Source organism: Homo sapiens, chromosome 13 (assembly GCF_000001405.40).
Source record: "Homo sapiens chromosome 13, GRCh38.p14 Primary Assembly".
NCBI lineage: Eukaryota > Metazoa > Chordata > Mammalia > Primates > Hominidae > Homo > Homo sapiens.
In genome coordinates, this window is record NC_000013.11 from 50,507,500 (window position 1) to 50,520,364 (window position 12,865).

General features: G+C 41.5%; 1 long non-coding RNA gene across 1 annotated transcript in view; it reads left to right on the plus strand.

The window, feature by feature from the left end:
* Positions 1 to 12,865, plus strand: part of DLEU1 (deleted in lymphocytic leukemia 1) — a 446,475-nt gene that overhangs the window by 425,331 nt on the left and 8,279 nt on the right. The window lies entirely within an intron of this gene.

A 12,865-nucleotide genomic window follows, 5' to 3' on the forward strand; every position in this document is an offset into this window, starting at 1 on the left:
AGTTATGTGTCTTGGAGTTGCTCTTCTCGAGGAGTATCTTTGTGGCGTTCTCTGTATTTCCTGAATTTGAATGTTGGCCTGCCTTGCTAGATTGGGGAAGTTCTCCTGGATAATATCCTGCAGAGTGTTTTCCAACTTGGTTCCATTCTCCCCGTCACTTTCAGGTACACCAATCAGACGTAGATTTGGTCTTTTCACATAGTCCCATATTTCTTGGAGGCTTTGTTCTTTTCTTTTTATTCTTTTTTCTCTAAACTTCTCTTCTTGCTTCATTTCATTCATTTGATCTTCCATCACTGATACCCTTTCTTCCAGTTGATCAAATCGGCTACTGAGGCTTGTGCATTCATCACGCAGTTCTCGTGCCTTGGTTTTCAGCTCCATCAGGTCCTTTAAGGACTTCTCTGCATTGGTTCTTCTAGTTAGCCATTCGTCTAATTTTTTTTTCAAGGTTTTTAACTTCTTTGCCGTGGGTTGGAACTTCATCCTTTAGCTTGGAGTAGTTTGATCGTCTGAAGCCTTCTTCTCTCAACTTGTCAAAGTCATTCTCCGTCCAGCTTTGTTCTGTTGCTGGTGAGGAGCTGCGTTCCTTTGGAGGAGGAGAGGTGCTCTGATTTTTAGAGTTTCCAGTTTTTCTGCTCTGTTTTTTCCCCATCTTCATGGTTTTATCTACCTTTGGTCTTTGATGATGGTGACGTACAGATGGGGTTTTGGTGTGGATGTCCTTTCTGTTTGTTAGTTTTCCTTCTAAGAGTCAGGACCCTCAGCTGAAGGTCTGTTGGAGTTTGCTGGAGGTCCACTTGAGACCCTGTTTGCCTGAGTATCAGCAGCAGAGGCTACAGAACAGTGGATATTGGTGAGCAGCAAATGTTTCTGCCTGATCGTTCCTCTGGAAGTTTTGTCTCAGGGGAGTACCCGGCCATGTGAGGTGTCAGTCTGCCCCTACTGGGGGGTGCCTCCCAGTTAGGCTACTTGGGGGTCAGGGACCCACTTGAGGAGGCAGTCTGTCCGTTCTCAGATCTCAAGCTGCCTGCTGGGAGAACCACTACTCTCTTCAAAGCTGTCAGACAGGGACATTTAAGTCTGCAGAGGTTTCTGCTGCCTTTTGTTCAGCTATGCCCTGCCCCCAGAGGTGAGGTCTACAGAGGCAGGCAGGCCTCCTTGAGCTGCGGTGGGCTCCACCTAGTTCGAGCTTCCCGGTTGCTTTGTTTACCTACTCAAGCCTCAGCAATGGTGGGCGCCCCTCCCCCAGCCTCACTGCCACCTTGCAGTTTGATCTCAGACCGCTGTGCTAGCATGAGCGAGGCTCTGTGGGCGTAGGATCCTCCGAGCCAGGCACAGGATATAATCTCCTGGTGTGCCATTTGCTAAGACCATTGGAAAAGCACAGTATTAGGGTGGGAGTGACCCAATTTTCCAGGTGCCATCTGTCACCCCTTTCTTTGACTAGGAAAGGGAATTCCCTGACCCCTTGTGCTTCCCGGTTGAGGCGATGCCTTGCCCTGCTTTGGCTCACACTGGGTGCACTGCACCCACTGTCCTGCACCCACTTTCCAGCACTCGCCAGTGAGATGAGCCCAGTACCTCAGTTGGAAATGCAGAAATCACCTGTCTTCTGCATCGCTCACGCTGGGAGCTCTAGACTGGAGCTGTTCCTATTTGGCCATCTTCACTATAAAACCTTTTGAATACAAGTTTTATTTTTCTTATTTCAGATTTCTTATTTCTTATTTCCTTAGCAAAGTCCAAATCCTTTTTTTTTTTTTTTTGATACAGGGTCTCACTGTTGCCCAGGCTGGAATGCAATAGAGCAGTCATGGCTCACTGTAGCCTTGACCTCTTGGGCTCAAGCAATCCTCCCACACAGCCTGCTGAGTAGCTGGGACCACAAGTGTGTGCCATTATGCCTGGCTAATTTTTAAACATATTTTCAGAGATGAGGTCTCCCTATGTTTCCCTGGCTGGTCTCAAGCTCCTGAGCTCAAGCCATCTTTCCTCTTCAGCCCCCCAAATTGTTGGGATTACAGGCCTTAACCACCTTGCCCAACTCAGTTTTCAATATTTGCTAACCACTTGTATTGTCTCTTGAGGACTATATGTTCATATCATTTACATATGTATTTATCTTTTGGATCCTACAGCTTTATTTAAATATTAATTATGTGACTTAGTTTCTGTGACTATTTTTTTCCCATTTGTTGAGTAATTTTTAAGATTGTTTAGTCTCTTATGAATGGAGTAATTTTTTATTTTTATATACAAAATCTATAAATCTTCTAGTTTGTGATTTCTCCAACTTGATTTTAAAATGTTAGATTCAATGACATAGAAAAAATTCCTTGAGCACAAAGCTGATTTCTAGACCTTAGAGTAGGAGCCTACAAGGGTTTTCCCTCTCTTTTATCAAGTTGAGAGAGAAGGGAAGATGACACATGGGACTGGTATGAGGGCCTTTAAAATCAGAGCAACCAATGCCAGAGAGATTGATGGTATTCTTGAAGGGAGTGGGAGGAGGCAATTAGAACACTTAGGTTAATTGCACTGGATGGATAAGGAATGGCAAAGTGGAGTGGCCCAGCCATGGCATTCCACCTAGTTAGGCTGCAAATGATCACACCTGAGCTACTCTGCTGTGTCTCTTCTTCCCTACTCAGGGAAATCTCCAGCCCTCTCTGGTTCCCACCCCCAGCTCTGTAGTATTACTATAGTGTCTGTAACATCAGCTGTAGCTGGGCATAAAATGATGCAACACCAGCCTGTCTCTGCTTCTCATGGGTTCAGGAAGTGGTCTTTCATTTATCATCGACCACTTAGTACCAGCCACCTACCGTGAGAAGCAAAACAGACAAGAAGGAAAGAAATGGGCAGATTGGGGATATATTTTGAGGGTATACTTGAGAGGATTTGTTGAAGGATTGGAGGTAGTGTATGAGAAAGATGAACAAGGATGTTCTCAAGACCGGAGCAAGAAGTTGCCATATCCTGAGATGAGATAAGTAGCAGGAGAAGAAAGTTTCAAGGGTGGTAATCAGGAGATCAATTTCTGCACACATTAGGTTTGATAGGCCTTGCGATGTCCAAATGGAGATACATGGGCCTGAAGGGAGATTATGGGGCTGGAGTTCAGAAGGGAGATCCAGGGTGGAGATTTGTCAACAAATAGGTGGATGACAGCATCCAGGAGACAGAGTGACTAGAAAAGTAAAGAGGATGGAAGAATGAGTGCTGGGACTTTCCACTGGCACATAATTTAGAGGGCGAAAAGACGAGAATAAACCAGCAAAGGTGACGGGGGAGCAGCAACCAGTGAGGTAAGGGGAAAGCCAGGAGAGTGTGGTGGTATCCTGGAAGCCAAGGGAAGAAAGTTTATCAAGCAGGAAAGAGTGATCTGCTGGGTTAAATGCCGCTTAATGGTAAATATTGAGTGTCAACTTGATAGGATTGAAGGATGCAAAGTATTGTTCCTGGGTGTGTCTGTGGGGATGTTGCCAAAGGAGATTAACATTTGAGTCAGTGGACTGGGAGGCACAGACCCCACCATCAGTCTTGGTGGGCACAATCTAATCAGCTGCCAGCACAGCTAGGATAAAAGCAGGCAGAAGAATGTGGAAGGACTAGACTGGCTGAGTCTTCTGGTCTCCATCTTTCTCTTGTGCTGAATGCTTCCTGCCCTCAAACATCAGACTCCAAGTTCTTGGACTCTTGGACTTACACCAGTGGTTTGCCAGGGGCTCTTGGGCCTTTGGCCACAGACTGAAGGCTACACTGTCAGCTTTCCTGCTTTTGAGGTTTTGGGACTCAGACTGGCTTCCTGGCTTCTTAGCTTGCAGATGGCCTATTGTGAGACTTAACCTTGTGATCATGTGAGTCAGTTCTCCTAACAAACTCCCCTTCATACATTCATCTGTCCAATTAGTTCTGTCCCTTTAGAGAACATTGACTAATACAGTGTGACAGGTCAAGCAAGTGATAGGCTGAGAATTGACCTCTAGATAGAGCAAATTATTGGAGACTTTGATAAGAGCAGTGTCAGTTGAGTGGTGAAGGCAAAACCCTGAGACATGGGTTCAAAAGAGGATGGAAGGAGGAGAAATTGGGGCTGTACAGAACTGGGGCATAAAAATGGCCTATATCTGAAAATAACTCCAAAAATTTATTATTAAAATTAATTTCATTTGTTTCTTTTTAAATTTTTTTCATGTGGCTACTAGAAAAATTAAAATGACAGATGTGGCTCACATTATATGGCTACTGGACAGCACTGATATAAATTATGCTTTTCATAGTTTTATCATAAAGGGGACCAGAAGATGGGATGGTAGCTGGTGGTGAAGTGGGGTAAAGAGAAACTTTTTTCCCCTGAAATGGGAGAATTGCAGCATGTTTGTATGTGGGAATAATATAGTCAAAAGTAGAAGTTGATGATGCAGCAGAAGAGACAGGGGACAAATGATGTCCTGGAGTAGGTGAGTGCATTTGGGTTCCAGCGCATAGGTGGAGGGTGGCCGAAGGGTTATGGACTGTTCATACAGAGTGACAGGAGAGGAAGCAGAATGTGAGGTTTGCAAACAAAGGTGAGTATTTATGGACATGGGAGTGCTTGGAAGTTCCTCTTTTGTAATCTTAGTGACATAGGGAGCCAGTCTTCAGCTGAGAAAAGAGGATGGGGGAGGAGGTTCTCTTCTGACATACACTATAGACCACAGAATTTGGAAAAAAAAAAAAAAAGCTTGCTACTAGGTCACTTAGAAGACAAGGAGGGGACAATGTAGGGTGTAGGGTACTTCGGATTTGCTGGTGGTTCATTACCGGAAACAAAAAATGAAACAACCCATTGGAGACATGTTCCCACTCGGTCATCTTGTCTCCTTCGTTTCTTGGATCCCAGTTTTTTTGTCTGTCTGTTTATTTGTTTGTTTTATCAAAGCAGAAAATAAAAACTCCAATTCTCTCCTCCTCAGTTTGCTTGGTGTTCAACATAGTTCCTCCTGCTGCGGGCCAGCTTGGTTTCTTTAAACTTTAATTGCCACAAAAACGTTTGCACTCAGAGCCCTAAATCTTCCAAGTCCTCCTTTTGTGTTTCTTGTTTTCCTCCTCTTTTTCTGCCTTCAGGAAAGAAGTGAGATGATGATGGCTCTGTCTCAGCAGCTCTCGGGGGGACCTGCAGGCTGGGGAGGCAGCTTCTCTCTGCAATTTGGCCGCTCCTGGACTTGTTGCAGCCAGGCTTCAAAGAGAAACCACCGCTTCCTCCCCGAGCCCCACGCCAGCCTCAGAGGCAGCTGGGCCTATTGAAACATTCAAGTTTCACTTCAGGCTACTTTAAACATTTGCTTTATTCCAAAACAGCTAAACTTGGAGTTATTTTCAAATATAGGCCATTTTTATGCCCCAGTATATTGTGTGGTTTTGAAGGCTTTTTTCATATCATTAGCTGCAACCCCCAAAGGTTAAAAATAATGATTAAGTAAAATCTTTACACGGATTCCTCTGCTCCCTGGAGGGGACACTGGGCAGTGTCCAAACTGCCAGACAAGCCAAGCTGTGACAATAGTGACTTAGCTTGCGACTCTTAGGGTTGTCCAAATGATTATATTCTTGTGGGGAGGAACGTGAAAGGGGGCTGAAGAGAACAGTGTAAGACACAAATTTGGTTTGGGGTTTGGCGAGGATCAAGATTTTTAAAATGGCTCGTGTGCTGAATTCATTTTTTTTTTCTTGCTGTCTTAGAGTAACAATCACATAAACATACTCTGAGTTTATTTTCTGTGAAATAGTTGCAGTTCACCTTTCAGCTGATAAGCATCTGCCCCTAGAAAACCATAAAAAATGGAAGAGTTTACAAGAGGTTGTGAGTTGGCACAACCAGGCAGGGGAGGAGAAAGCACTTAGGACAAGTAAATATTTTACAGCACCTATATTTTCAGACTGTCGCTGCTTCCAAGGCCAGCCTCCTCTCGCTCCTGGCTCACTGCTCCTTTCCCTTACTTTTCCTGGGGCTTGCTTTCTTTCTGTCTTCTTATTTTTTTAATCTCAAAGTTAATATTTCCATTTAATTCTACCTGCTTCCTCCAGTAGTTAACATGCTAGTTAGCTATTTAAACATTTTATAGATTTCTCTGAGCTTGTCATAATTATTTTCTTGGCTGAGCCTTCTGGAGTCATTCCATGTCAGGAGACAGTCTGAAATAGAAAGACAGCAACTTTAGGGTGGGTGCAGCTGGGTTACACCTGTTGCTAAACAAAACAGGATTTATGAAAACATAAACTAAAACAAGTAAAGCAAATCAGAAAAAAAAGACAGTAAGCAGCCTGCCCTGGTAAATTGCATGCTTCTTTTACTGTTGTCCTCTTTGTGTGAGAGATTTGTTTGGGTTTTGGAAGGGACACTTCAATGCACAACCTCTGTAATCCTCAATAAATTCAGTTAGGGTGAAGCAAATCATACCAAGAGGAGGCTCCTAAGTCAAACAGAATGATTTTTTTTTTGGCGCTAAGGGGTGTTTGAATTTTGACAGCTTGTTCTACATTTTAACAATGGAAGCTATGATGGAACAAAACATATTTCTAGACATTGTTGCTTTTTATTTTTAGTGTAGGGTTAAGTGTTAGTGTTAAACATTTTTTGAAAATAAATAAATTTTCTCAATTTTTATAATGCTGAAAAATTAATGACCATATGGTAAAATACTCTGACTGTGGGTGGAATGCAAGGCATCGAAGGACATTACCTAATGGAGGTGGGCGTAGTTTTCCTTGACTCCATAAAGGATTTTAAAATCCAACTGGGCTTAATGTTCCATCTAAATCTGCATTCCATGGCATCATGTCGGTTCACCATAAAAATTAGAGAAAGTTTCTATTGATCAAGAAAGAAGAAAGAAAGAGAGAAAGAAAGAGAAAGAAAGAAAAAAGAAAAGGAAGAAAGAAAAGGGAAGAAAGAAAGAAAGAAAAGAGAGAAAGAAAGGAAGAAAGAAAGAAGGAAAGAAAGAAAGAAAAGAAAGGGAGGAAGGGAGGAAGGAAGGAGAGAGAAAAGAGACATAATTGCTCTATTGTGAAGATTAATCAACTTTATAAAGGAATAAAAATATTTCATAGGGACGTGGTAAAGATTCTTTTGTGAGGGTTTCCCACTTTCTGCTGGAGTGTATAGACCACTTAAGGTAGTCACATCAGGAAAGGGTGAGAACTTTGCCCTTGGACAACAAGAAGATTTTCTTTGCATTTTTTTCAAGAGGCCCAGTTTTTCAAGGGCCTATGACAAAAGTCTGGAGGTAATGAGAAAAGATGCAGACGTGATGATTAGAAAGCTGGTTCTCAGTGTTTGTTTAGTGAATATTAGATTGAGCTTTTCCAGCGTTTAACTCTTGCAGTTAAGAGTTAAGAGTGGTAAGGGGAGCACTGAGTGCTGATTCAAAGGCCAGATAGCATTTTGCAGCTGTGGGGCTACGCACTGGGCCCTGGCCAATGCACCTCATCCCTGCTTTTGCTGGATTTTAACAGGCACCACAGGACCCTTGGCTGCTTAGGCAGCCAACTTTGCTAAATTGCTTCATGGTTTCCATGATGTGAGCTGAAGTCCACCACAGCTAGGTTGGCATCTTTGCATTCATTTCCTTCATGTCCCATTGTAAGTTAAGTCATAAACTGGTACTTCAGACAGTAAAAAGATGGTTCCTTGCCATGCATACTTTGATCTTACTCTGGTGGGAATCATTCCCTTGCCTTATAACTGGCATCTGAACTGATGATACCAACTTTGTAAATGTTTTAAATTTTTGTGGTAAAAAACACATAACATAAAATTTACCATCTTAACCATTTCTAAGTGTACAGTTCAGTAGTGTTAAGTATGTTCATATTGTTGTGCAGCCAATCTCCAAAACTTTTTCATCTTGCAAATCTAAAACTATATACCTCTTAAACTACAATTCTCCATTCTCCCCTTCCCCAAGCCCTGGCAACTACCTTTTTATGTTCTGTTTCTGTGAATTTGACCACTCTAGATAACTTTTAAGTGGAATTATACAGTATTTTTCTTTTTGTAACTGGTTTATTTCACTTTGCATAATGTCATCAAGATTCATCCATGTTGTAGCATGTGTCAGAATTTCCTTCCTTTGAAAGCCTGGACAATATTCCATTGTATGGATAGGCCACATGTTGTTCATTCATTCCTTGAGGGATACTTGGTTGCTTCTACATCCAACTCTATATTTTAGTATTCAACATAATCTGAGGGGTGATATTGTTCTATTAATATTTCTATAACTATTTGTCCCATGACCTCAATTGTTAATAACTGTTGATATGAGGCATCTTTGCCCTCCCAAAATCCCTTTACTAATGTTAAGACAGAGTATCAAACTTGAAATAAGGCAGTAGAATAGCCTCAGTTTTCACGGTCTTGTAAGAGCATTTTCTAAAAGACCTACCCAAAGATGACCTGATTCTCTAGGGGAATGTATCTTATTTGACATATTATTTGTTACTAATTAAGGCTCAGACTCTATGAGATGACATGCTAATTTGTAGGATTTTATTCAGTAGTGATGCAAGTGATTTTGGTCTGGTAAAAAAAAAAAAGGATGACTTTAAAGGTTATACTTTTATTGCCAAGTATAGTATTAACTAGTGTTCTGTCTAACCCAGCAATCTTATTCCAACATTCATTCTCAGATGCCCGCATATATTTAGTTTCTCAAATACTCTTTGCACTGGTTTTATCATTCTGCTCGTTACCTCATTAATGAATTACGTAAATATTTGCCACATGCTTATGTTTATATGCAAGCCATAGTTATAACTTTAAAAAATTATGTTTTGAATTTCTTTCCTGCCAGAGCAGCCAGCATAAATAACTGCATTCTTCATTTCAGTGAAGTTTTTGTTGCTAAGCCATAGAGGGGCCAGGTGATGTCAGAACAGTTAAGCATGAGACCTACACTAGGAAAAAGTAGGAAATGGCTTTCTGCTAAATGTAATTATAGAATAAGTTCTTTTTTTTTTTGAAAGAAGACTGACCAACAACACAACAACAAATTTAGCTTATAAATATGTTCCAGCATTTTAATCTAATACAAGGGCAAAGTAAACCTCTGTGTTGATGTTTGGGCCGAAAACTACCAGCCTCCTCAACTCAACTATGCAAACATCAGGCCAGGAGGCTGCAGAGACCTCAAGGTGTGTTTCCCAAAAGGCATAGTAGAGAGGCTAGCTACACTCACATAGATCTGCAGTTGCAACAGAGGATATAAAAAAATAAATAAAAGGCAAAGTTTCCATAAACTCTGCATTTTCATACCCACCTGCAGCCAAACCTTCTTAATGTGGAGATGTGCCTGTTTCTTGCAAAGGGTTTACTATTATGGTTCTGCTCTGTGCTGGAAAAGTGCAAATGACTATGGACAGCATGCCAAAAAACAGTCCCTGCTGATTCTTTTCAACTCAGGGGCATGTGTGTGTGCACATTTGTGTGTGTGTGTGTGCATGCCTGTCTGTGTGGGGGGTGTTACTATACCATACAGACACACAGCCTGCCGTTTTAAGTGTCCCAGAGATCAATTTATTCAACATTTAGTGACGAGAGGTAGCTCATTTAAAGGGTTAGTCCCTAAAGATTAGGAACTGATTCTCAAGAATGGAGGTAATATATCTTGGTTGCCTTCTAATTCCCAGGTATTCCTCAAAGACAGACCAGCATAAATTAATCAATGCCTCTCTGAATTCTGCAAAATTTGTTTTTTCTTTTGTCCCACGTGAGAGTGAATGTTAAGATAAATGGTTATTTCTGGACTAAAATTAAAGGAAGTTGAGAAAAGCAAATGATGTATTTCAGTGAGTTAGTAGAAGGCCAGAGGGAATTCTGTTAAAAGCCTCCCCTACAGCTTAATGATTGTCACATTGCAAACTCTACCTTGATAAAAAGAAAAATTTTAAACTATGACCTCCCTTAATTTTCTCCATCTATGTGTGGGAGCTCTCCTCTGTGAGTTCATCTGTTTGAATTTGACTCTGAATGATTCAATCAGCCAGTGTTGCACCATAATTTGGTAGCCCTTTGGCTAAATGCAAAGGGTTGGTGGTCTCACCCTGGGTATATGCAGACATCTCCCTGGCATTGTTACATTACCCTGTGGAGTCAGGGGATGACAGATGAAGAAAATTTCTCTGCTGAAGTTAGTGAGGCCCCCTCCATTTCTAGGAAATCCTTAATTTTGTTCTTACAATTTAACGAATCTCTGCTTTTCATGCAATCTTTGTATTTAGGGTCATTCCAGTCTTTTAAACAAAATTGGTATACAGCTTTTTATGTGGGGTAGTGTTTTCAATTTTCACACTGATGCTATCATATTTCAGGAATAACCACAAGTGGTTAATTCTGTAATTCTTCTAGACATTTTATTTTAAACTTTAAACCTGAGGAAACCATGGTCAGTATCAATAAATGTTGATTGAGTGTCAACTGGGTATGAGCCCTGTCCCTGGCACTTTAACAAGTCTGCTCTGAGAGGTCTGGGTTTCCAAGATGTTCCATTACCTGGTTTAGGAGTCAGATATTTCCCTCAAAGAGGTATTCCTTGTTTCCTGAGTTTTAAAATTATTCTAAGTTCCCAGTTTTTAAAGCCATTATCTGTAAGACAGGAGTGCCCAGTAGTTTTCATTTACTAGGAGCTTATTGTGAGCTAGAAACTGTAGTTAGTCAAGTGTTTTACATGCATTTTTAAATTTTAATCTCCATACCAATCTACTAAATTGGCGCCCTATTCTTCTGAATCCCGTTTTAGAGGTGAGAGCACTGAGGCTTGCTGAGAACATGCCATCAGCTCCAGTGACACAGCCAGCATGGAATCCAGTTTAAATGTGGGCATGTCTGACTCCACAGCCTCTCTGCTACATCATGTGCAGTCTGCTTTTTGATGGCCTTTTGTTAATTCCTCCTTGGTGCCCTGATATTTCAGAAGTTATATGTCATTTAGTTACACATTTTAAACCTTAGGAAACCAAGTCTGCATCAACATTTACTAAGTATTGACTGGCTCTGCATTTAATGTTTTACACGTCCGTTTTGCATGGTCAGGATGTCCAAATTATTTCATTAGCTCATTATTTTGGTCATATGTATTTCTGAAGGGGACTATAATAATGAAAACTAGCTTAAATTCCCAATTATTCAGGCTATTTCATTTAAAGATGAGAACAGCTGGCAGTTTCAATTCCTCAAGTGTTGAAAAATTGTGGAAAAGAAAAACCCCAAACCAGCGTGTTAACAAATGGCTTAGCGAATGAATCGGAGGGATTGTGTTCTCTCTGGCCGTTTCTGGATATCTTCTGTGTGTCTCCACAATCTGGGTGCGGTGTGATGTGTTGCTCCACGGAGAAACCACAGTTGAAAGAATAAACAGGGATGACAGAATAAACAGAATAAACCCTGAGTGTGGGGGAAGCTTTGCAAGTCAGGCTCCTTTCACTCACATGCCTGGCCTTCTGGGAATGGGCCCAAAGTTTTCTCTTTGGGAACTGGTGTAAACGGCTTATTGCAGCCAGTTTGTTTGGTTTCTCATTGACTGGTACAGGGTCCTGGGCAGGCACTAGCAGAATGAGGCTGCCTTTGGGGGAGCCTCGCAAACTGGGCACTGCTCAGTAAACAAACACATGCACAAATGTGCTGAGGAAAGTGGGGACCCGGCATGGCACACACGCATGAACACACACACAGACTGAGGGAGATGATCTAATGGAGAAGAAAAGAATTTATTGTTGTTGATCATTATGGATTCCACCTCCAATTCAATGACACATTTTTCTGAAAAGATTTCCATTCTTTTGTTTTTGTTTTATTTTTAGTTTTAGTTCTGGGTATGTGTACAGGATGTGCAGGTTTGTTACATAGGTAAACATGTGCCATGGTGATTTCCTGCACCTATCAACCCATCACCTAGGTATTAAGCCCAGCATGCATTAGCTATTTGTCCTAATGCTCCCCCTCCCCAACCACATCTGCCAACAGGCCCCAGTGTATGTTGTTCCCTTCCTTGTGTCCATGTGTTCTCATTGTTCAGCTCCCACTTACAAGTGAGAACATGCAGTGTTTGATTTTCTATTCCTGCATTAGTTTGCTGAGGATAATGGCTTCCAGCTTCATCTGTGTCCCTGCAAAGAACATGATCTGTGTCCTTTTAATGGCTGCATAGGATTCCATGGTGTATATGTACCACATTTTCTTTATCCAGTGTATCACTGATGGGCATTTGAATTGATTCCATGTCTTTGCTATTGTGAAAAGTGCAGCAATGAACGTATGTGTGCATGTATCTTTGTAATAAAATGATTTATATTCCTTTGGGTATATACCCAGTAATGGGATTGCTGGGTCAAATGGTATTTCTGGTTCTAGATCTTTGAAGAATCGCCACACCATCTTCCACAATGGTTAAAGTAATTTACATTCCCACCAATGGTGTAAAAGTGTTCCTAAGATTTCCATTTTATGTTTGTCAAGCACTCTCCTTGGAGGAAGACTAAAGGCACACACTGTCCATAAGAACTGAACAATCAGTGCTGTTAAGTAAGTTGGGTTGAGATTGTGCAAGACCAGGAAATTGAAGAGGCAGTTGATGAAAGTTGTGAAAGGAAAATTGCAGAAAAAATCTTGCATGCCCATGATGGGGGCACTCAGCAGTGGAAACAGCAAAAAGAGGGACCCATTCTACAGCAGAACTGCCTTTTTCAATAGTGCTATTGGGACCTGGGCTCATGTTCTTGCTGAGAAGAGCCACTAATATTACCTGGGAGTGAGTTGAGCCTTAAAGTCCTTGTCTGTGCAGCCCTGTGTTTTGAGCACTTTCCAGATGGTTCAAGAAGTTTG